At 41.1% G+C, this 24,368-nt stretch overlaps 1 protein-coding gene across 7 annotated transcripts in view; it reads left to right on the top strand.

Moving 5' to 3' along the window:
- AMOT (angiomotin) overlaps positions 1–24,368 on the top strand; it is a 65,955-nt gene that overhangs the window by 27,847 nt on the left and 13,740 nt on the right. For all 7 annotated transcript variants that reach the window (NM_133265.5, NM_001113490.2, NM_001386998.1 and 4 more), the window contains 5 exons: positions 1,592–1,736; positions 2,999–3,091; positions 7,893–8,038; positions 21,004–21,153; positions 22,203–22,393. In NM_133265.5, coding sequence (NP_573572.1) covers positions 1,592–1,736; positions 2,999–3,091; positions 7,893–8,038; positions 21,004–21,153; positions 22,203–22,393 — 725 coding nt within the window. The remainder of the gene's footprint in view (positions 1–1,591; positions 1,737–2,998; positions 3,092–7,892; positions 8,039–21,003; positions 21,154–22,202; positions 22,394–24,368) is intronic.

The following is a 24,368-nucleotide window of genomic DNA, read 5'->3' as shown; positions in this document are numbered from 1 at the left end:
TGTCTCTAAATGCCATTCACCAGTTTTCACCTTCTGTGCTGCTATCTTGGTGCCATCTGTGAAGAGAAAAACACTTTTGAGTCTGCTCTTTTCTGTGGCATAAGCCTTATTTGTTTGCAGGCAGTCCTGTCTCTGGCAGAATTTTGGAGATGGAGGCGGGTTGAATCTGACTGGTTTGGCAACCTTACCTTTCCCCTAGTGTCCCATTAGGGGCCTGATATTTCTTCCCTGAAAGTACCCTGAGCTTTGTTAAACAGGATAGTGGAAAACACAGAAGCAATGCAGAATGGTTGCAGAGTCCAATTTAATCTGAAAATTGCTTAATAGACCGTGGGTTTATTTGTCTTATACAAATTATATGCAAATATCTGTGTGGCTATTATATGTGCAATGGAGCTATACTAGTTACAGAAAAACTCTGGAGTCTAATTTCTCATTTTCGGCCTGATTGTGGCTGATTCAGGGGAAGACCCTTTCTCTCTGAGTTTATTTTCCCCATTTTATGAGATTTGCAGGGGTGTCATAAAACACAACTCTGATTATGATTTTGTGTTCAAAAACCTATACTGGTTTCCCATTGACTATGGGATAAAGTCCAAATGCCTGGCATTAAAAGCATTTTATGATCTGACTCCAATCTATCTTAGCAGCCATATCTCGCCAGGTTCCCTCTGCGTACCCCACAGTGTCCAGCCAAATTAAACGACTGGTCATTCTGGGAATGCATTTGCTTACTCAGAATAGAATACCCTTCCCCTCACCTCTGCTCATTGAAATCTGACCCAGCTTTCAGGATCTGACTGTAAATGCCACCTCTTCTCAGAAATTGTTCTCCTCCCCACTTCCCCAACCAGGAATAACTTCTTCCTTGTCTGTACTTTATGGCACTACTTCTACTTTTCTTAAAGATGTATCTTGCCCTATAGTCTTTCATTCGATTGGATTGAAACCTCCCTGAGGGCAGTGAGAATGTTCTCATTCATATTTACACACCCCCAATAGTACTTTAAAGAGTTCGTGTAAATATTTGGCCCTTGGTAAATGTTTGTTAAATTGAACTGAACTACTTCATGAAGCTTGGGGTTTTTAGGGTTGGTCTCTGCTGCTGACAGTTGATCTTCAGAGGCAATTTGACTTTTCTCTCTACTAAAATGAGAAGAGGTATCCTGTCTAGGCAGATAATCAGTGCAGACTGGAACCAACATGTGAAAGCCCTTTGAATGCTTTGGAATATCTACATACTATATATATTATTACTAATATTTTCAAAATTAAGAGTTTTCTTCAGAAATTAAAATCCTTTATAACTATTTATAAAATTTATTCTATCTTACCATCTCCTCTGAAGGCAGAAATTGTCTATTTTTTTAACCCGAGGAAAGACCATGACACCATGAGTTAATTACTAAGCTTATGGTTGAAGGTGGAGATCCTTTCTTGAAACTTGTGTCATCTGACTGTGTTATGCTTGCCTCCTGGCCATCTGTGAGCCCTGGGAGAAGCTGTCAGCGAGGATTTGCCTGTTTGTTTTCAGACCATTTTCCCCATCACCCTCCTACCATCACCACCATTGTCTTTTTTTGTTGTTAAGGTGGAGACAGAAATCCAGCGCGTCTCGGAGGCATATGAGAACCTCGTGAAGTCATCCTCCAAAAGAGAGGCCCTAGAGAAAGCCATGAGAAACAAGCTAGAGGGCGAGATTCGGAGGATGCATGATTTCAACAGGGATCTGAGAGGTGAGGGAACCAACAGACTTGTCTTTGTACTTCTGAAGCAGCTGCAGGGTGGTGAAGGGAAGGGCTGAGCAGGATCCAACTAGGCTCTTTGGGGTTGTCCAACCCACCGGTATGGGCAGTAAATGGCTGGGCATGTGCCAGGCTAATTTTTTGTGACTGCAATAGTCCTCAGTCCCAAGCTTGATTGATCAAAGTGTGGATGTACCTCACTGGTCTTCTGAGCAATGAGCTGATGTGTTAATCAGGCAGGATCCCTGCTGGGACTCCTGGACCCACCTGGCCCACCCCCACAATAGGTGCTGCCTCTTCTTTTTAACAGGTTTTACAGAGGCGTGCCCTTTGACTGCAAGCTTGAAGTATAATGTCCTCTCTTATTTCCAGGACTGACTGACTCCTTTTATTTTTGACTTTCACCTGATAATATTGAAGACTTTGGGAAATATTTCTACTTTAAAGTGCCTTCAGCACCTTCAAAACTGCTAACCTTGGGGATGGTACTTTCTTTTTTTTTTCCTTTTTCTTTTCTTTTTTTTTTCTTTGAGTTGGAGTCTTGCACTGTCGCCCAGGCTGGAGAGCACTGGCATAATCTCGGCTCACTGCAACCTCCACCTCCCAGGTTCAAGTGATTCTCCTGCCTCAGCCTCCTGAGTAGCTGGCTGGGATTACCAGCGTGCGCCACCATGCCTGGCTAATTTTTGTATTTGTAGAGATGGGGTTTTGCCACGTTGGCCATGCTGGTCTTAAACTCCTGACCTCAGGTGATCCACCCACCGTGGCCTCCCAAAGTGCTGGGATTACAGGCATGAGTCACTGTGCCCGGCCAGGGATGTTACTATCTTTGAATTTTGGTTATTTTATCTTTAAAGTCAGGGGGCCCAAATACATGCTGCTAGTTGTCCCTTTCAACTTTGACATTACATGAGTTTAAATACTTTATAATAACTGTGATACTCTTTTTTTTCTGGTTAATGAAAGATATCTTTATATATTTGGGGATGGATAATTTCATTGAAATTTAGAATTCTGCACTTAACTTAGGTTTTGGCAGTGAGGAGTGAAAGCATTAAATACTTACCTCCTCCTCCCCGGCCATGGTCTAGTATTATTTTGGGATTCACATTTGCAAACTCATGTTAGTCACCCATTCCTGTTTAACAAGAAGAAACAGGCTTGTTTTACCAAAGGTCAGTATTTAGAGGGCCAATAGTATGTGCATGAAAGTTTACATTTGAGACCCTGTTGATTGTCTCCAAATTTCACAGAGCGTCTAGAGACTGCCAACAAGCAGCTTGCAGAGAAGGAATATGAGGGGTCAGAGGACACCAGAAAAACCATCTCGCAGCTCTTTGCAAAAAGTAAGTCTGCAAGCTGCAGAAACAGGTATTAACGTGTGGATGGGAGCAAGGTGCGTGAAAAGATTACACTGTTCTCTTTAGCCTTTTAGAACAGCCAGGGCAGAGTCAATATCACCTAAGGATTGTTTTTCCTATTCAGGCATGAAGTTGGAAGATTCTGTTCTTTTCCTCCTAAGCCAAGAAGGCTGCTTGCCACAACATCTCGTCACATCACATTGGTCCTTCAGCATTAAACTAGAGAAGCCCCTTGAAATCCCTGCTAGTGTCATTGCTATCTAAATAAAGAGGCTTACTGAACATGAGGTCCCTTCATGTTGAAGGGATTTTCTTAGAAGAAACTGTGTGTTGGCTCTGGTAGAGATGGGATTAATATGCAGGATCGATGATAGTGTTTGGAATACTTCACCTGTACCTGGGGCTCCCTAGTATTTATTGTTACACAGCAGCAGATTGCAAGGGGAGCTAATCCTATGGCCTGAACTAGTGACTCTGGCTGCAGAGTTGGAGGATGTGGGGGAGGGCAGAGCTGTGTCTTCCTCATAATAGTGTTTCCTTTGTCTGGAAATACTCCTAGGACCATGACAATGAATTAATCCTTTTCTTTATCAGTGTCTAATGGACCCCACCCAGCTAGACAATGTCTAATTATTTCCAATTGCCTTAATAAAACCAGCAATAAAAACTTCATAGTGGATTGAGTCCACAGGGAGAATTAGTCGGGGGGAAACATGAACTGCTCTCATTTCTGCAGATGCCGGTAGCTAGTTTCCTCTACCCCCAGTCTCCCTCAGTGTAGCTCTGGCTGTAGTTGTGCTCAGTAGGGATTTGCCATTCTCTTCCATCTTTGCTAGGTCTCCAAATGACCCTTTCAGCTCATTCCATGCAGCTTCTAGCCAGCTTTTACAAGTTCGTTTGATCTTCACTTACAATACTGCCCTCCCTTCCTGGGTTGTTCTGTTGTGCTCTGGTTTCAGAACAGGTTTTTTCTTTTTCTTTTCCCTGTACCTCCTGTTCCTTTGTCAGCATATCTTAGAGTAAGGAATGTAGTTTTTCTGGTGTCATCAGTGCCTAGTATAAATTTTTGTGAAATTGCTTTTGTGGTATCACAGTTGCTCTCAGAGCTAGTTCACTGGCAGAAAGAGGGTGGCAGACTCTCAGATCAAAACAAAACAAAATGTATAGATTCTTTGTTCTGGATCAGCTAGATCATACTCCTTTCTGTGTGGAGATGGTATTTCAGGTGTCCTAGGAGCTCTTTACAGGTTTATAAAATGTGGTAACTTAGTAAATCAGACGGTATTACCGGCAGGGCAAAAGACTGTCAAATGGCTCTAGGAAGGAAAAGTGAAGTTCATCAACTAGCCAGGGAAGAGGGCATGACTCTTGTCCCTCCTAATTTCTTTCGTCTTGGGACACTGACAGGGTCCTGTATGGTTGGAACTGTGGCAGGAGAAAGGAAAGCCCTCTCAAAAAGCGTCTCTGGGGAATGTACTGCAGGAATCCTAGAGAAACCAAACCAACTCAACCCTAGAAGAAGGCAGCCCGGTATAGTAGAACCAATCTGGGTGTAAATAAGGGCTCCACTACTTATTTACCAACTGTGGGACCTTGTACAAGTTAGTCAAGCTGTCTGGGTCTCTGTTTTCTCATATGCAAATTGGAGAGGAGAATAGTACCTTCCTTGTATGGTTGTTCTGAGGATTAAGCTAGTACAATACCTGGTATGCAATACGTATTCAACGAATGTTCCTTTCTTTCCAAATGCAAAGTCAGAGTGGGAAAGAAGGTGAGACTGCCCTATTGAAGTTTCTCCTATAACTTAAGGTTTAAGTCTCCAGATGAAGAGCACTTAACCTCCAAAAAATCGAAACTACTTGTTTGAGTTTCTGGTGTGAGGTCTGTCTTAGTTAAGAGGAGAGGAAAGACAAGGGACATAACTACATGTGTCATGGTCCCCTGTAGTTATAATGATTTGATTCAGAAACATGGAATTGCTGATTTTATAGGTCAGGTGACTCTCAACTTTCTCATACTAAAAATTAGTGTACAGAATCTGTTGTATCACAATGAAAGGTTTTGAAGCTACAGATTCTCATTACTAATCGTGGTGATGATGATCATCATCTGCTTTATGTAGTAAGTTCCTTTGGTGTTTGGTTATGCTTTCTAACATTTCTTTCACTTAAATAAATCTTCTATCTCATTTGATCCTTACAAATATTGTGAGGTTAAATAAGATGGTATTGTTACCTCTGTTTTACCATCTAGCATTGTTGATTCTTTCTTAACATGTCTTTCTTTCTGCTTATATTATTGATCTGATCTTGCATGCTGTCTACTTTTTTTATTAGAGCCGTTAGCATATGAATCATATTTGTTTTAAATTCCCAGTCTGTTAATTCCAGCATCCCTGCCTTATCTCGGGGTCTGGTTCTGATTCTTGCCCTGTCTTTTCAAACTGTATATTTTACCTTTTAGTGTGACTTGTAGGTTTTTTCGTGTGTGTGTGTGAAATGGCAGACCTGATGTATGGGGTAAAAGGCAACTGTGGTAAATAGGCCTTTCAGGATGTGATAGTAAAATCTGGGGGAAAGGGAAGTGCTCTAGACCTATGATTAGGTCTCAGTCTTTTAGTGAGCCTGTGCCTCTGGACTGAACTTCACAAGTGCATCTCAGTTTTTTTTCACCCCTTTAGGTGGTGCAGGATCACTAGAAAGGGCTTCAGCTGGTTATTTCCTTCTCTCGTGTGGAAGGCCAGAGCAGACTGGAGTTGGATGTTTCCTTTCCCGTGGGTCGGTTAGGCTCTGGAAACAAACAAGCAAGCAAACAAAATCCCAAAAACTCATAGATTAGGTTCTGGTTAAATAGTTTCTCTTGAGGGCAGGCCTTGTTAAGAACAGAATGCTCTGGCATATTTCATAATGGTTCCTTTTTCCCTCTCCCTGCTGGAGTCACAAGGGGTCCATTTCACAAATAGACATCTACAACTAGGACCAAGCAATGAAATCTTTAAGTGATTATTTGGGAAGAGTGAGAATTACTTCGTTGGAATTCAGTGATATCACTTCAGGTGTAATATTCTGATATTCTCATTAGCTGTGGGTACTGGAACAAGGTACAGCCAGCCACTAGAAGAGGGCAGATTGAGATAAGAATAGTGTATGGACCAAAGTGTAAAATCTGTTTAGGGATTACTTATAAATCTGTATTAACTTATGCAAATGCTAGCTTGTGATCATGTTCCTTCATTCTCCTAAAAATTATAGTTTTGGCTACTGTCTCATACTGGTGCTTTCTTCCTCTATTTTTCTTATATCCATCCACAGATGTTTATTAAACGCTCATTATATAGGTGCTGCTAAACTGAGCTCTCTTTAAAACCCAAGCCAGAAAGACCATTATCTGCCCACTAAGCTCTTCCATTCTAAGGTCATAGAGTATATTTGTATACACATATGCACACACATGCAAGTATTTATATACACACATACGTTTTTGTATATATGCAAGTATATATATATATATATACACACACGTTTTATACATATGTATATATACATATGTATAAAACGTGTGTGTGTAAGCACACAAGCATATTGGATTACTTTTTTTTAATTTTAATTTTTTTGAGATGGAGTCTTGCTCTGTCACCAGGCTGGAGTGCAGTGGTGCTATCTCGGCTTACTGCAACCTCTGCCTCCCGGGTTCAGCCTCAGCCTCCTGCCTCAGTCTCCCGAATAGCTGGGATTACAGTCGTGTGCCACCACGCCCAGCTAATTTTTGTGTTTTTAGTAGAGACAGCGTTTCACCATGTTGGCCAGGATGGTCTCTATCTCTTGACCTCGTGATCCGCCCACCGCAGCCTCCCAAAGTACTGGGATTACAGGCATGAGCCACCGTGCCCAGCCATATTGGATTACTTTATTTAAAAAAAACTGAACTTTCAAACTCTAATAGGCTTAAAGGGAGAAAAGGAGATTCACAAATAGAGGATGTTTTCTTCAGGTGAAATGGCTGCCTTTCTTCCTCTGATCCTGATGTTTTCCATCTAACTTTGCCCTGTTCTTTACAGTGTTCCCTCCACGCCTAGCCTATCCTACTGGAGAAGGAGTAGGATAAAAGCATAACATGGCTTCCAGTTTTAGTGTATTATCTTTTAAAAGACATTGGATTCCCAAGAGAAGCAGATGCTGAGATAAAGTGGGTTGGGTTAGGGGGTGGTGTTGGGTTAGGTTTTCCGTGGAGAGGACATGTTGTCGAGTAGACTTGATCTCAGTTACAAAGTGATGTTAGTGTGTGAAGGGTGGGCATGAGCTTTTATCCAGTTTATGAAATGTCATTTTTAGCACTATTTAATGTACTGTCATGAGGAAACAATTGGAAAAATGTTTTGAGCTCAATTGCTTTTTGCCAATGTAAGACAATTTGGAAGAAATAAAATTGAGGAGATGAGCCTACCTTTTCTTCTGAGGGCTCTGTGTGTGTGTGTGTGTGTGTGTGTGTGTGTGTGTGTGTGTGTGTGTATTCTTTGTATAATGCCTAATAATTTTTGGAACACGTTACAACTATTTTCTCATTGCTTCTGCTCAACAACCATTAAGTTGTTAAGTGACTTTTCTGAATTTCTACAACAAGTTAGTGAGAGAGCCAGTGATAGAGTCCAGATCTTGGGTATACTGGTTCTTCAGCTGTGCACTAGAGCAGTAGGCTATCTAGTAAAGGGTATGATGTGTCAATTTTGCTCAGGTAAGGCTTTGAGCTAGCTCCAGGCTGGCAGTGTTGATGTTTAATGTCCTGACAGATAAAGAAAGCCAGCGTGAGAAGGAGAAGCTGGAAGCGGAGCTGGCCACTGCCCGTTCTACCAATGAGGACCAAAGACGACACATCGAAATCCGAGATCAGGCCCTGAGTAATGCCCAGGCCAAGGTGGTAAAGCTGGAAGAAGAGGTATGGTTTCCTCAGGTAGCATATGAGCCTGGGGGTGGGAGGGCTGGGAAATCGGGGACACTGGGCTCCACATTGTGGTGAATTGGCAGCTGCATAATCCCCAGAAGGGAGGTGCCATCTGCTGCTCCTAGTTTCCACTGTGCTGATGTGAGTGGACTTTGCTTTCTTTTCTCTTCTTGGTAAATTCTTTTCTTTTGCTCCAAAATAGGAAATCACCAGGGTCAAGAAACAGTTTCCATTTGTTCATTCATATAATAAGCTCACTGCCCCCATATTCCAAGCTCTTACTATATACCTAGCCGTACCATAAGCCTATGACAGATATATAAATATATATATGGACATAGATGTATAGATATGTATATGTATAGATGTATATTTTAATTTCTGCCCTTACAGGTATTTTAAAACTTTATAAAACTAGAAAATACTTCTAGGTAGCTTAAAGTACTCTAAGGATTTTGAAATCTGAACAGCCCTTGTCTACCCAGGCTTAGTGGGAAGTCAGTCCCCTCTCAGGTCAGAAATGATTCTTGCTGGCCATATCTTTTACTGTTGGACTTACTTGGCAGATTGGTTTTTGAATAGAAGCAATCTTGGGAGGTCTGAGACAGGATGGGACCCAGGGACAGTTTACAGCTTATTTCAGAAAAAATGCTCTGGCCAAAAGCTGTGCTGTGGTTCTCAGTGGCTACTTCTAGAAAATAGTTACGTGGAGGAATGGACTTGTCATTTATGTGTGTGCAGAGATGAAGCCTTCCCTTGACAAATGCAAGGGCCCCCAAACTATTAAGCATATGATTAATATGTATCTGATTAGGCTTGACATAGATGCTATTTGATTGCAACACTAAACTGTACTCATGTGAAATAGAGGGAAATTTGCTGCTGGCTTGTCATTAATTTATCTTGGATGTCAGTTGTTATTGCACTGGACTACTAACTCTTAGATGTTTTGCCCTTCAGGGGATGGGTGTGTTCCAGCAAAAATTGATGCTAGAGTGTATCTTGGTAAAGAAAATTTCATATCTCACAGACTTCTGCTCTGAAATTTGAATTGTTTTAAGGGGAAAAATAGCCTTCATCATAAAAAGTTGAGAAATTTGTAGATTTGAAACAAAAGAAATTTATTAGCATTTAAAAAGCATTCTGGCTATTGTATATGAGGTATCTTTACTGCCTTCATTCATTGCTTGCTTCCTTTCCCTCAATAAGAATAGGTCTAGTTCCTGGAGATTTCCCAACTTATCAATTTCCTCTGCTTTCTTTTTTGGATATTAAAATGCTTGTTGGAGTTGGGCTGTAAATTCACACTTTACCAGTGGGTAGTGCCATCTAATTCATGATATCCCTTAGCCTGACTTGCTAGAATATCAACTCCAGGTAGTATAAAATCAGGTTAATATCTAGCTTCATCAGTTGTCTATATTAGAACTATGCTAAGTTGCTCAACAGAAAATGAGGAAGACTTGTACTTACCTGATGTCTAGGTTTAAGGAGCTTATTGCATCCTTTTGCTACACCCCATATATTCCCTTCCCTCACATTTTTGTGAGGACATTCCAGAGAAAATTACAGGATGGGGTAAGACTGAATTCTTTTAGAGAAGGACAAGCTAAGAGACCTGCTGCGAAGAAGTAGCTTGCTGGTGGTCACATGGCCAGTCTTGGGTAGAGCCAGAAATAAAACTGGTATCTCATGACTCTTCATTCCCTAAACCCTGCTGCCTTTCTCCCTGTCTGAATCATCCTTTGGTTCACCTCCCAAAAAGAAAATGTGGGTGCTTGTTCAGATTTAGTAACCTCTGCATCTTTTAAGTTTTTTAAAAATTTCTTCACTCGTCGGGCCTTTCTTTTCAAAAGACTATGAGAAACTTGTCCAGACTGCTTTGAGATTGGGGTGTACAGAGAGTCCTGCTGCCCCTCCAGGAAGGGTGCTCAGCCAGTTGGAGATAAATGGGGACAGACTGTCTGCAACCATTTTTCTTTGCAACATCCGAGGGCACAGTGGTAACTGGTTGTTTGAAAATATTGAAAATAATATATGTGTTGGGAGAAAATGTTCATTTCTAGTTCCCACTGGGCAGCCCTCGCTGAAAAGGTTGCCTGAAATATATTTCTGGCTTCAGACTTCTGAGGCTTTTCTGGGCATTAGTCCTGGAGATTTTTAGTAGTTTTCCAGGGGCCCTCCCCAAAATATGTATGTAGCTTTACAATATAAAGAAGTTCTAAGTATTGAGCTGGGATTGAATGATGGCATTTATTTCAAATGAGGTCATCAATTATTGTTAAGTTCTTAGTCCTCATCCAATTTGTGCTTTCACATGGAGTCTAATTGTTAGGAAATTCTGAGTTGCTCTTGCTAAAGGAGGTGAAACCTTTGACTGGGAGAGCAGGCTTACCACCCTCTACCCAGCGGAATCTCAGAGGCCATGTGATGTCTTCCAGACTTTCAAGCCCGCTCACTTCTAGCACATATAAACGCTTGGAAGACCACATCTCAGAGAAAATCAACTGGTTCTTATTTCCCTTTTTGTTTTAGCAGTCTCTCAGAGCTGGATTTGCTCCTGGGCGCTGTTTGTCGTGTCTCCTCTATATTGTTCAAAGGAAAACATCCCTTTTGCTTATCCTCAGATATAGGAAATTGCTAATTAAAGTTTTGCTTTGCTGCTGTGACTCAGTCTTCATTAGGCTTTGCTCTTTCAGGGCTGAAATTTCAAAGTTTGGAACATCATCAGGGAGGTATTTGAGGTAAACAGGTAGTTCTGGAACAGATCTAGGAAGGAACCTTCATTGTGATTGCTTCACAAAATCATTGAACATTGCTAAACCGAGAAAGGTATTCATGAATAGAAGAGTTATCCTTCTGTCTGTTGGAAATGGCTCAAGTAAGGCTGTTTTTGAAGGCACATGGATATGTTAGATAACCTGCCTGTGTCCCATATAAACAGATAATTTAGTGATGGCTTACAAATGGCATCATGAACTTTCCTCTTTTCTCGAACCTTAGAAGTTCTTCCAAGGAAAACCTTTCTAGCCTACTTAGCAAATCAAAATTAGGGAAACTTTCTCAAATTAGACCTTTTGTCAGGAGACTATTTTTCTCAGCCTTCTAACTACAAGGTCACTTAGGTAACTACTTCTCATTGCATTAAGGTGGTCAGGGAAAGGTTATGACTACTTTAATGGTCAGAGGACCCTTGCATTTATTTATGTCTTTCTCTTTACAAAGACCTCATTTAGATGCTTTTCCTGAAATTCATTCCTTCTTGCTAATCTCATTAACTCTCTTGCCTGAGGTTCTCTACAATCACTGTGCTCTAAACTCTACATAGAAATGTTGCCTCAGGCTTACAAAGAACTTTCTCCTGCAATCACAGCTTCCATTTGCTCCCAAGTTCAATGCATTCTTTCATGGACCTGGCTCTGCTGACATCCAGGAAGGAGGTATCTTGCTGGGGAGGGGATAGCACTGTAATTATAAATCAGACCTGTTTTCTTGGTGAGTCACTCTGATCCAGGCCTTGAACCAGCGTGTACCCTGTGCCCCTATTGCAGTAGCAGCCGAACGAGGTAAATGGTGCCTTTCCGTCCTTGCCCTTATCTTTCTTTCGGGACACGTAGGTCCTATTGAAGTGGAGGCTCATTAAACTCCAAGTCAAAAGAGCTCTGTGTCCTACAGCAACCACGGTATTCTCCCATTCAAAGACAGCCTCCCCACCCCCTACCAATTTGACCTCGCTGGAGATTTTCGATGGATGTCTGGCATATCCTCTCACAAGGCTCAGGGCAGCCCAGGCTTCTGGCTGGCTGCTGTCTTATGATGATCCGGAGTGGAAGCGGCTTGGGTAATTGTTTCAGGGATGGTGGGAAAAAGGCCTTGGCAAGATCAAAGAGGGAAGATGCTGCGGGTGGGCTGCTTACTGAACTGAGTGCACAGGAAGGGAGAGTGTGGAATGTGAGAGGGCTGGCAGAGAGAGCCAGTGAGCCTTGTTCTTTGGCTTTAGGCTAGAATGAAAGCCATGGAGATTCAACAAGAAGGGGCCCAAATGTTAACCTTTTCTGAACTGCAGTGGCTAGTGATGATGTAGATGTCACATTGATAGCTCGTATTGGAGTAGCCAGTGCATTTTCTGGAGTCCCATTGCAATTCTACTCAATTCTCTAAGGCTAAATTCATACCGTTTTACTCCATTTCCACCATTGTTCTTAAGGGCTAATATTTTCCCTTCTTTCTGGATCTCTTACTAATTTGATTTGTCTTTTTGGTTTTAAAGATACATAATTTTCTGCTATGACACCTATCCACAAAGCATCATAACCAATTTCCTGCTTCCCTGATATTAGAGGAAGATGTCATAGGCATAGATATTTATATGTCTAATACTCCAAAATAATTTTCAAACAGCAATAGGATTTCATTGGTGAAGGTAAATCTTACCCAGTGTTTTGATGGATTATAGATTTGGATGGAAGATCCAAGGATGTGAATTATGTGTGCATTTAGAGTATTGATAGGATACAGATAAAATACATATCCACCCAGGAATCTTCCAAAGTGTTCTGCTGGTGCATTATTGATTTATTTGAAGGGCATTTCATCTAAGGATGACATTCTCCATATTTATCTCAGTCTATTTTATCTCTTTCTTTCTTTTCTTTTCTTTCTTTCTTTTGTTCTCTTTTTATTTTTTATTTATTTATTTATTTATTCATTGAGATGCAGTCTCGCTTTGTCACCCAGGCTGGACAGCAGTGGCCTGATCTTGGCTCACTGCAACCTCTGCCTCCCGGGTTCAAGCTATTCTCCTGCCTCAGCCTCCCAAGTAGCTGGGACTACAGGCATGTGCCACCACGTCCAGCTAATTTTTTGTATTTAGTAAGACGGAGTTTCACCATGTTGGCCAGGCTGTTCTCGAACTCCTGACTTCAAGTGATCCACCCGCCTCGGCCTCCCAAAGTGCTGGGATTACAGGAGTGAGCCACCGTGCCTGGCCGTATTTACTTTTAGGTAGGTGTTTTTCCACCCAATGTGTTACAAGAAAGAAATTATGTCTACCCCCAAATAGAGATGGAGTGATCTCTCTGAGCTCAATTCTTTCAGTCTTTCCTATGATTTTGGCTTTTGGAATTCCTAAATTGGAAACCTTGTGGGTTTCTCTTTAGTCGCCTTTACAACATGAGCCCTATTCCTGAGGTAGCAAGTTTTTAGAGGTGGTTTTTTTTACTCTTCAATTCTTTTAATATCTACCAGTGGACCACAGCCTACTGGCAATGGACAGAGGCAGCTTGCTAATACCAGGGTAGTGTTACCAAATTGCTTCAGCATGAACCCTTACTTGGATCCAGTGGCTCCTGGGTAAGACTAAATCAGATCAAACTAAAATCAGGCTCTTGGAGCAACATATAACCAGTGGTATGAAGGAGAATAACAATAAAAATACACTTCAGTTGTGACATTTGTATAAGAGTGTTTGGAGTTGTGGACAATACAGGGGAAGAGGAAAATTAGACAATGAAGGCACTGGACTTAGTTTTATATTTTTAACCTTAATGTCCTTTAGCCAATGGAGTGTTTGTATATGTTGGTGGTCATCCAGCTGGTATTAATAGTCTGTCCTTTCTGCCTACTGATCTGTATTTTCTTGTTTGTATTTTTTAAACATTAAAAATATTTACAGATATATTAGTATATCCCCAAAGAACCTTGCAAGTGTTATCCTCATTTGACAGATTAAGAAATTAAAGTACAGACAGATTAGGTGATACAGTCAGTGATAAATTTAGGAGAAAACCCAGATCTCTTAAATCTAAAACATTTTAACCCTGTTCTTTGTCCACTAGTGAATAAATGGGAAGCTAAATGATTAAGTCGCTTCCTTGCAAATGGCTAAGACAAATGGGGCTCTAGAAGTAATTTTGTATATAGCCATCCTTTAAAAAATAAGTTTGAAAGACACCCACAGTTGTTGGAAGGAGGGAAGAGATGCCATCACGTGGTATTCATTTGCAGGGATCAGATTTTCCTGAGTCAGAAGGGGGTTAAGAGATCTGCCAAATACTTGGGAACTGGTTCAAAATATTACAGAAGTGTAATGGAAAATCATATGATTGATTGAGCTCAAGAGTATTTGCCTTATGCTTCAATAGATTGCCTTCCCACTGTTCTTCCTCTCAATTTTATGATTTTCCTTTAAAAACTTATCTCTGAATAGGAATGATATGAAATTCTTATCTTGACTGGGCCAAAGTGAATACATTTATGAGGTGTGTGTTTGTTGTTTGTATATTTGCAGTGTTGTAGATAAGCTATACTATGCTCATTTTTGTTCTTGAATGTAATCGTTATTTAATATTAACTGTTCACCAAGAATATAGTGACCAGTAAACTAGAACTAGAACTTAAGAGAGACACCAAGGAAAATAGAAGGGCTCTACCCTTAAGTGGCCTATGGATATTGCCTTCCAATTGAGGCAGAAACTTTGTCTTGTTTCCCGCTACATCCCTCCTGCTCTCATTTGTAGAATAGGGCCTGATGCATAATAAGCATTCAGTAAATATCTGTTGAATGAATGAGTGAATCCACACATGAATAAAATCTTTAAAAAATGACTGCTTAATAGAGTACACATGATGAGAAGCTATAAAGAAAAGCAGCAATCAGGATCAGATAAGATTATTCAAGGAAGAACTCTTGGAGAGTTTAGTGATTTAGTAAGGAGGGATAAGAAATGATCAGACCAATATGAAGTTTGAGTATTTGCATAGTAGACCTGGAAGAATTTTAAGACAGTTGGAGCCTAGATTGATAAGGCATTTTTAAGAGCCATATCTAGGCTGAACAGGGGAGAATGACAGTAGACTGGTGAACGTAAAAGCATCAAGTAGTTTGAGGTATGGATGAAAGAGAGCAGCTCTGGTCTAAAGAAGAGAGGAGGTAGGTTTAAAAGTGCCTTGGATATAATAGGTACCTAATAAACACTAATTGAATGGGTGTGCTAGCAGTAGTTTAAGAGTTTGCTTTTTCTTTCTTTCTTTCTTTCTTTCTCTCTTTCTCTCTCTCTCTTTCTTTCTATTTCTTTTCTTTTTTTCTCTTCTTCCTCTTCTCCTTCTCCTTCTTCTTCCTCTCTCTTTCTTGTCTTTCTTTCTTATCTTCCTTTCTTTTTTTGACAGAGTCTCTCTCTGTCGCCCAGGCTGGAGTGCAGTGGCGCGATCGCGGCTCACTTTAACCTCCGCCTCCTGGGTTCAAGTGATTCTCCTGCCTCCGCCACCCAGGTAGCTGGGATTATAGGCGTGCACCACCACACCCAGCTAATTTTTGTATTTTTAGTAGAGACGGCGTTTCACCATGTTGGGCAGGCTGGTCCCGAATGCCTGACCTCAAGTAATCCACCCGCCTCAGCCTCCCAAAGTGCTGGGATTACAGGTGTGAGCCACTACATCCAGCCAGTTGCTTTTTTTCTTAAATGACTATTTCAGGAAGTCTGTTATAGCAGCTGTCTATAGGATGGACTCATGGGTGGGTGTGTGTGTGTCTGTGTGTCTGTGTGTGTATGTGCATGCATGTGTGTATAGATCGGGAGAGCAACTGAAAGTAAGATCTGTTAGGTGTTATTATAGCTTAAACTGTGTTGGCTATGAACATACAAAGAAATGAAAGAATATGAGAGATGTTAGAATTAAGACATAGTAGTAGATTGGATATGATAGACAAAGGAAAGAGGGAAGAATGATAATTCCAAGATTCTGAGACTGGAAAAATTAGGTAAGTGATGATGATGATGACTGAACTATCAAAAGGATGACATTTTGAGGAAAGATGAAAGCCATCTGGGGCATGCTAAGTTTCAGAGTGAGAAATCTTATAGTCACCTAGAGGTCTGTGACTGAGGATAACATGATAACATTAAAATATTAGTGTGGCACAAAGGAGATCTCCAGTAGTGCTGCAATGTTGAGCAAAGTTTCTGAACCTCAGCGTTCCTGACATTTGGAGCTGGATAACTCTTTAGTGGCGGTGGTAGGATGCTGTCCTGTGTATTGTGGGCTATTTAGCAGCACCCCTGGCTTTTAGTCACCAAATGCCAGTAGCACCCCACCTCCAGTTGTGACAACCAAAGATGTCTCCACACATTGCTAAAATGTCCCCTGGATAGTTGGGCATGGTAGGGGGTGGGGGGATTGCCCCCAGTTGAGAACCATTGATATAAAGGCAAAAAAGGAAACTACCATAGATTGGACCTTGGAGTACTGTAGGAGGCGGGAGTCAGGGTAGGGTTAGGGAGAAAGTGGATCTAAAGATCAAGCCAGGGAGTAAAAGCAGTTTAGGGATCTACATTAAGAAAACACAGAATTGGAGAAAGCAAGGAAAGGATTTGACAACTTCTTGAAAGTTGGCATTTGGTAAGAAAACTTTAATAGATGAAGGATTTACTCCATTCACTGAATGTTCAAGAGGGATTTGGCTTAAATGATAGATTTACTTGGAATCTTGAGGGCTCATGGGTACTGGTCTCTAGATTAGAAACTAGAGTGACTAATCTGTGGTCCTCACAACTCATTTTATGCACAAACACTCGAACCACTATCTTGGCTTTGGAAATTCTTTAAGTGAACCTTCAGTTCTTTGAACACTGAAAACAGAAAAATAAATCATCTAGGGTCTTATGACAAGAACACACATTATATAGTATGTCTCTTGCATGTACATACACACAAACTAAAGCAAAACTTTTGTTTTTACGCCTAAGAATGTGACAGTACAGAATCTTAGGACCCCGTTTGGCTGAGCCCTCTTGGATATTGGTCAGTGTTGAAGGTGAAAAGGGGATTCTGATTCACAACCAATTTGGGAGTTAAAGACTCTTAGAGATCTTCTGAGATCATGTATCTAGCCCTGTTTTTTTTTTTTTTAAACTTCTGAAATCCTGGTGGGGCAGGGCATTCCTAAGAGAGAGAAGATCATGTGCAAAGGCAGTGAGGGGTGAAATATTATGGGCTATTCAGGAACCTTAAGCTATGTAACCATACTGAAGCATCAAGTATGAAAAGATGATGGAACAAAATAAGGTGGGAGGCCCATTCTCTAGGGAAGACAGGTAACAGACAACAAAAATGAACATGAATACAACACACACAAAGCTCTGGCAATTGTTTTTTCAGGTGAAATTTTAAATAGAACCCTAATACGTAAAACACATAAAAGAGGAGCCATCTGATACAACCCACCCACCATAGTGGCCCCTCAAGCACCTCCACCAAACACTGGGACTCTGCATCACCATTTGAAGACCTCTCCAGGGGTTTGCCAACTTTTCTCTAAAGGACCATATTGTAAATATTTTGGAGTTTGTGGGCCATGCAGTTTCAGTTGCAACTTCAGCTGTTCGACTCTGCCATTGTAGCTGTAAGGCAGCTATAGACAAAATCAATGGACATGGCTGGATTTGGGCTGCTGCTGACCATTTTGGTTTGCTGACTCCTGAAACCCCCCTCATTTTTTTAAACAAATGAGGTCTCTGTAGCTGAGAATAGAGAAGCAAGTTGCTATTAATAGCAGAGCTAGGACTAGAACCCAAGTCTCCTAATTGTCACCTTGTTCCTTTACCTTTCATTGTGCTGTCAGATAGAAATTTCTGATATGTATATCTGTGTGTATGTGACATACACATACACACACACACACACACACACACACAGAGAGAGAGACAGAGAAAGAGGGAAGAGAGAGAGAATGAAAGAGAGAGAAAGAGAATTTGTTTTGCCTAGGGGTCTTTAGTTAAATAGTACTTTTTATATTAGGTAAAATATTTCTTTCTCCTAAAGCAGAGGTACCTTGCAAATCATGTCATTTGGAAAGAAATGCAGTATCCTTGCAGCTACTCAGTGGTTGCTTCTAACTGTATTTCCAATGAACAACTTGCTATCCAAAGATATCTACAGCATAAAGTGTTTGAGGCCTAATGTTATATGTCCTCCTGTGGGAAAATGGCTATATTTGCATTGTCTAATTAGACAATGATGTGATCATTAGAGTTACTGAGAGAATGATAGCCATGTCAAGGATATCTGGAGTGAGTGTTCAAAGTTGAGAGGACTGGAATGTGTATGGCTTGGTATTAATTTTTCTCTAAAAAAGAACAAACCACCTGGAGTACTTTCTGTACTATACACTCTACTAAGCACTTAATGCATCATCTCATTTGATCCATATAAAGATACATCATGATTTGTCATGACTAAGGTAAAAGTGAAGCACATAATGTTCAAGATAGTAGTGGAGTTAATAAAGCGTATAGGTCTTTGTTCCTTTTTACACGTAGATAAGATCTAGAAAATGTAGAGAGTGTAACTTAGAAGATGGTTGGCTTTGTTGATTGCATCTCTAGGATCTTGGACTGGTCACATGCAAGAGTTGTCTTTTTCTACCCTATCTAGAGAGTAGGCATTTACTAGGTGATTATGATGTTTATGGGTGAGTTGCACTTTTTCTCCTTTTAAATGAGGTGGGAAAACTATGCCAGCCACAGTGGTCTTGCTACCTTGTGGAAAATCATCCCAGTGGCAAATCAAAATGAGATATTTTTTGGCTTGCTTTGTGGAATTTATCTGACCTGCATGCCTATCTTTAGCCAACTCGGAGAACTCCCCAGGCCTTTATTGCATTTCCCTTCCAGAGAGTTGGCTCAGTGACTTCTATTGCGGGATGCTTTTGCTAGGATATTTAGGTTTCCTTTCTGAAGAAATCCACGTGGCCCTGGATTGCTTATTTTTCAGTTTTGTGAGCTTGCATTGCAGTAGTTTACCACCAAGGCAAGAACTGCATGCTATCTAAGTTTAATTGCCTTTAAGTATAACTGCTGCAAGCCTTAGTAATTATAGTTCACATTCTCTGCGTTAACATTGCCTTGCTCCCTTAGGACTTTCAGAGCGATTCACAAATAAATGCATTCAGCTTTAAATTGCTCATAAGGATTATAAGACCCAAAAGGTGAAGGATAGAGGTTGTTTCCTTCTCTCCAATTATTCAAAGCTTAGCAAATAGGAAGGCAGAGGCAAAAGTTTTGGTTGCCCTAGTCAGTGTTGTTATAAACAGCCACAAATCCCGGGGAAGAAAGGTTTAAACTTACTGAGGTAAAGAGTTTGATGGTGTTTTGTTTGTTTTATTTCCTAGGAAAAGTTCTAATGGATAAAAACATATAGGCTTCGAACTCACCTCAACTGGTTTTCAAGGCTAGATTGAACTAGACTTGGAATGAAAGGAAATGTCAAAGAAGTACAACAAAAGTCGAAAAAGGTTTTGTTTGCCAGTTACCTAGGCAAGGCATACTACAGGTCTGGTAGGAAAATACAAGATAGGGTTCCTTCGACTTAGAGAAAGTTCAGCAATTCTAATTTGAGGAGGGGGCCATTATAAGACAAAGAGGGTTTTTCTATCACTACATGCTAGTGCTGTCTGACTGGAAATTCTACCAAGTAGTGATTTGGACTCATTACCATGAAGGTTTCTGCAATGAGGGAGTCAGGTTGGTTCTGCCAGCTGGGCCCCAGCTAAGTGGCTGTTAGGCAATGCTGGTAGGGTGGGTAACTTCTTATGTTGCAGTTATCTACCTAGGTAACTCAAGAGCTTGGGAATTTGTTGAAAAGTCAGAATCGGATGCCTGAATTTCTTTTTGACTAGATTATCAAGAATATTTTCATATTTTAATCTGAAGAGTGAAGGTGTCTCTAACATCAAGTTGATGTTGATCCCTAACATCAACTTCCATCAGAAGAATAATGACAGATGTGACCCACTTGGAAGAATTTCTGCTTTGGAAACAGCTATGAGTTGATTTATTAGCATTGAGGAGGCCCCACAAGTATTACGAGAAGCATAATCTGCTTATTTATTAACAAGTTGGGAAGCCTGCAGTTTCCCCATATCTTCTTTAAAGAAGAAGATATATATCTTCTTTAAAGAAGAAGATATATATCTTCTTTAAAGAGCTCTGAGATCTTTCTCATTATTTTATCTGCATAGTCAAGCTTTTGCTTATAAGCTACAAGGTTGCAAAGAACTCACACTCTTATTCCCTACTTGCTTCTACATTTGCTTTTGGATATGGCTTATAGGCTTGCAAAGAGGAATAATAATGTTTGACTCATTTAGTTTCACTTTTGAGTCATTAATTTGAGGCTTTCGGGATCTTTTATGGTTCCAGAATAAAAGTTGAGAGACTATAGCCCAGGGTCTCCAATTCAGGCTCATGAAGTAGCAATCACAAATAACCTAAAGAACTAGCAAGGCAGTGCTAGGCGATGTGGAGACTAAAGGCTTTTGACCCATCACGTGACGCCTTTACTTTTGAGAAGCAGAAACTTTCCAGGAGAGCAGTGATGGATTATATGGGGTGATTACCAGGACCAAAGACTTCAAAAAGACAATTCTGACTTTCTTGTACCTTCAGCAGTTGATCACCCTTTTTCTCCCACTTGGAGAAGAGACAGCTACATAAAAGGGGTGGGCTTTCTTTCCATACCAAAGCAAACCTTTCTTCCTGGAGATCCACCCTTTTAAAGCATTTGCCTAATGCAATAACCAAAATAAGATATGCCTTCCCAAGAATAATCCATATGAGAATGAAAAAGGCCAGAGATAAGGATGTGCATAATTGGGAATCTGAAAAACTTGGCCATCTAACATAGATGGTACTGATAAGAGTAGACTTTGGGAAGGTATAGAGATAGGGAAGAAGGAAGAGGTTTAAAAGGTATTCTCGATTCCTTCACATTCTCTTTATGAGCAATACAAGGCAGCCTGCTACTCATTGTGAAGGACCTTCTCGCCATCCATTCCTTTTTGCAGCTGGACTCTAAAACAAGAAGAGATCTAAACACAAGGCTGGATTTAGGGGATACATAATTGACCCTGTTGCTTGCTGTTTTTCCTTTCACCTTGCAAATTACCCAACATGGATTTCCAGCTGAAAAAGAAGCAAGTGTACGTTGACAAGGTGGAGAAGATGCAGCAGGCCCTTGTACAGCTCCAGGCAGCATGTGAAAAACGTGAGCAGCTAGAGCACCGTCTCCGGACACGACTGGAGAGGGAACTGGAATCCCTGAGAATCCAGCAGGTATGGAGAACTTAAAGGAAGAAAGGGAAAAAAAAGTAAGAAAATGACATTATTCCTGGTTGCTTATTTTTCAGTTAGCATTTGACATGAACACTGAAAGCACACACTTGCTCATTTTTACATTTTTCTCCCACCTAATCTTACTCCAGAGTGCCTCCCAATTGTGAATACAAAGTCTGTTTCCTTAGCTTCCTATCCCAGAAATATCCTTTAAGCCTTTTATCTTGCACCTTTTATTTTCACATGAACTCCAGGAACAGTAGACGCTGTAAGAATTAGCGCTGCTACACAAATACACATCTTGATATTGTAGAACTAGAAATGGTCTTCAGAAATCATCTGGCTGTACCACTTTTCAGTTTTAGATGAATGAAAATCAAGACTAGGAAAAGTTGGCATGAGTCACTAATGATAACTACAACAAGTTATGGGCAAGATAGGATCTAAATCCTAGATTTTTTTTTTCTTGAGACTGAGTGCAGTGGCGTGATCCAAGCTCACTGCAACCTCCACCTTCCATGTTCAAGCAATTCTCCTGCGTCAGCCTCCCGAGTAGTTGGGATTACAGGTGTGCACCACCACGCCCAGCTAATTTTTTTTTTTTTTGTATTTTTAGTAGAGATGGGGATTCACCATGTTGACTAGGCTGGTGTTGAACTCCTGACCTCAGGTGATCCACCTGCCTCAGACTCCCAAAGTGCTGGGATTACAGGTGTGAGCCACCATGCCCGGCCAGATTTTTAAATTCCCATTTCTGTTGTGTGTTATGCTGGCAGGCAGGGATGGCAATTTTTAGGCCATTAATTCACTTTCTGAGTAGCATGACAGTTTGATATGACAGGCCCCTTTCCTGGCCAAGGGAACCTCACATTCAAGCCCATGATAGGAAGTCCTGTGGCCCTGGGAGGAGATCTGAATTCCCCCTGCTTCTTTCTGAATCAGAGTCGAAACAGAAGTAGGCTGGGCAGTAATCCTCTCCAAGAATAGGGGCTCAGACACCATGGTTCTTCTCTCACTAACTTGAGGGTTCTCTGCATCTGCCCCAACAGCGTCAGGGCAACTGTCAGCCCACCAACGTTTCAGAATACAATGCTGCTGCACTGATGGAGCTCCTTCGGGAGAAAGAGGAGAGGATTCTGGCTCTGGAAGCTGATATGACAAAGTGGGAGCAGAAATATTTGGAGGAGAATGTGATGAGACATTTTGCTCTGGATGCTGCTGCAACTGTGGCTGCTCAGAGGTAAGTAGGTAGCTGGTAGGGCATGAGTGGGAAGAACAGAAAGGTCACTGATTCATAGATTTTTCCAGTGTTTTATTTTCTTTAATATTCTGGGTTTCCCCCCCAATTTCTGCCTAAGTGTGTTTTCTTTCATCTGATTATGCAGGGAATGAACGGCTGTAGAGACAGAGGGTCAGGGATTTGAACATCAAAGTTGTTTTATAAACTTCTTAGAATCATAGTTCAGCTTTCCCCAGAAGCCAGAATGATTGCAGATGGGATCAGCTGAAAATTTGCACCCCTCCTTCCCCAGAGCCACAGATTCTTTCAGCCACATATGCAGGTTGTTTAGCCCCAGGACCGGAGTGAAAGCCCCTCCAGAGAAACTACCACTCAGAAACTAAATGTCACTGAGGAGTTGCTGCTGTCATTTGATAGCTCTGGCTTGTCCAAGGTATGTCAAAGGCTGTGCTGAACTTGAACCCATCCCTGCCCTTTGGGAAGGTCAATATTTGAAGGCCACATTCTCTATGTGCATAACCTCATCGTGCGTGAGCGGTCACATTTCATCTGGTAAGGGAGAGAAAGTGGCTGGAGGATTTTTACTTTTTGCTCCTTATTTGTTCCCCTTTTCAAATTATAAAAGTCAATTATTGGCCTTTGGAGGAAATAGTTGCTCTTACCTCATGTGTCTTACCTTGCTGCTGCTCAAAATCATCAGTTGGGGTAAAAAGAAAGGAAGAAAGAGAAAGAGAAAAAGAAACAACAACAAAAACTGAATTAAAGTCAGGTGATGACTTGGGTTGTGGCGATAACAGAGCCTTGGTCTGGAATTGGGTATGAAAGGCAGGCTACAGTATATTGCACCCAGATAGGTCTCTACCCAGAAAGTTATTAAAAACCACAGTGTTGTTTTTAACATTCTCCTAAACGTGGTAAGCCAGCAGAGTCTGGAAGTGCTTGCCAGACTTTGGGTTGGGATATGTATGTGGAGTGGGCAGTGGATACATTTATTTTTGAGTCCTTCCATGCCAAATCAGAGGTGGGGAGGTTCAGTGCTAAGAGCTGAACCGGTGCTTTATAAGCCCACTTCGGTTCTTTAGGAAGACATGTCTCTCTAATGTCATCTGCTTGTCTTCATTAGATATCATCTATGCCTCAAATGGATGGAAGCTGCCTGTGGCTTGATTTTGAGCTTAAGCTCATGGACTTAAGCTTCCTGGCCTTGTTTCCTAAGCAAGGCATACTCAATACATGCCAGTGTGGCAATAGAGTGCACAGAAGCCCCAGCTCTGCCAGAAGATGGTCTCGAAGGTTGTAGGCAGGTTAGAAGCAGAATTAAATGTAATTTTACCTGCTAGCTCCCAAGGAAACACCTGTGTCCAGCACTTGTTCAGAGGTTATATAAGAAACCCTGATGCTGAAAAAACATTGTTATTATTGACAGGTGGAAAGATACAGGGTAATTTTGTCACGTTTAGGCAGAAGCTTAGAAACATACAGGTCACGAGAGTGTGCAGTGTGAGAAAATACTAGAAAGCTACGGTTCATGGTGCCTACTTCAGAATAGACTCCAGGTCAAAATGCAGGAGAGCTTCAGGGGTTGTCACTTGGGGGCCTTGTATAAAGAAACTACCCTCCTTCCTTCGTCCTTTGAAAGCTTTGTGTATTCGGGGAAACCCCTTTCAGATGGATTTTCAGAATCTGTTGGCTCCCACAAGGTAGATTTAATTTAAATTGAATTCATTTTAATCATCACGTAGAAACTTTTCATCTAATCACTGTTTTTGGCAAAATGTGCATGCCTATCATTTAACAGGCTAAAACACAGCCTGGTTCCCACCTAGAAAGAACACTTTCCAATAGTTCCACAGGTGAACATTCCAGATCACGACTGTGTGTCTTTCTGGCATGCTACTAATCCAATCCACAGGAGATGCTGACAGAGAGATTGTATTGAAATTTCTGTAAAATATGGGAATTGGACTAGGTGATT

The sequence above is a fragment of the Homo sapiens genome, chromosome X (assembly GCF_000001405.40).
Source record: "Homo sapiens chromosome X, GRCh38.p14 Primary Assembly".
In the NCBI taxonomy this organism is placed as follows: Eukaryota; Metazoa; Chordata; class Mammalia; order Primates; family Hominidae; genus Homo; species Homo sapiens.
Note: the sequence above shows the minus strand (reverse complement) of the source record. Positions and strands in the feature narration are given on the sequence as shown.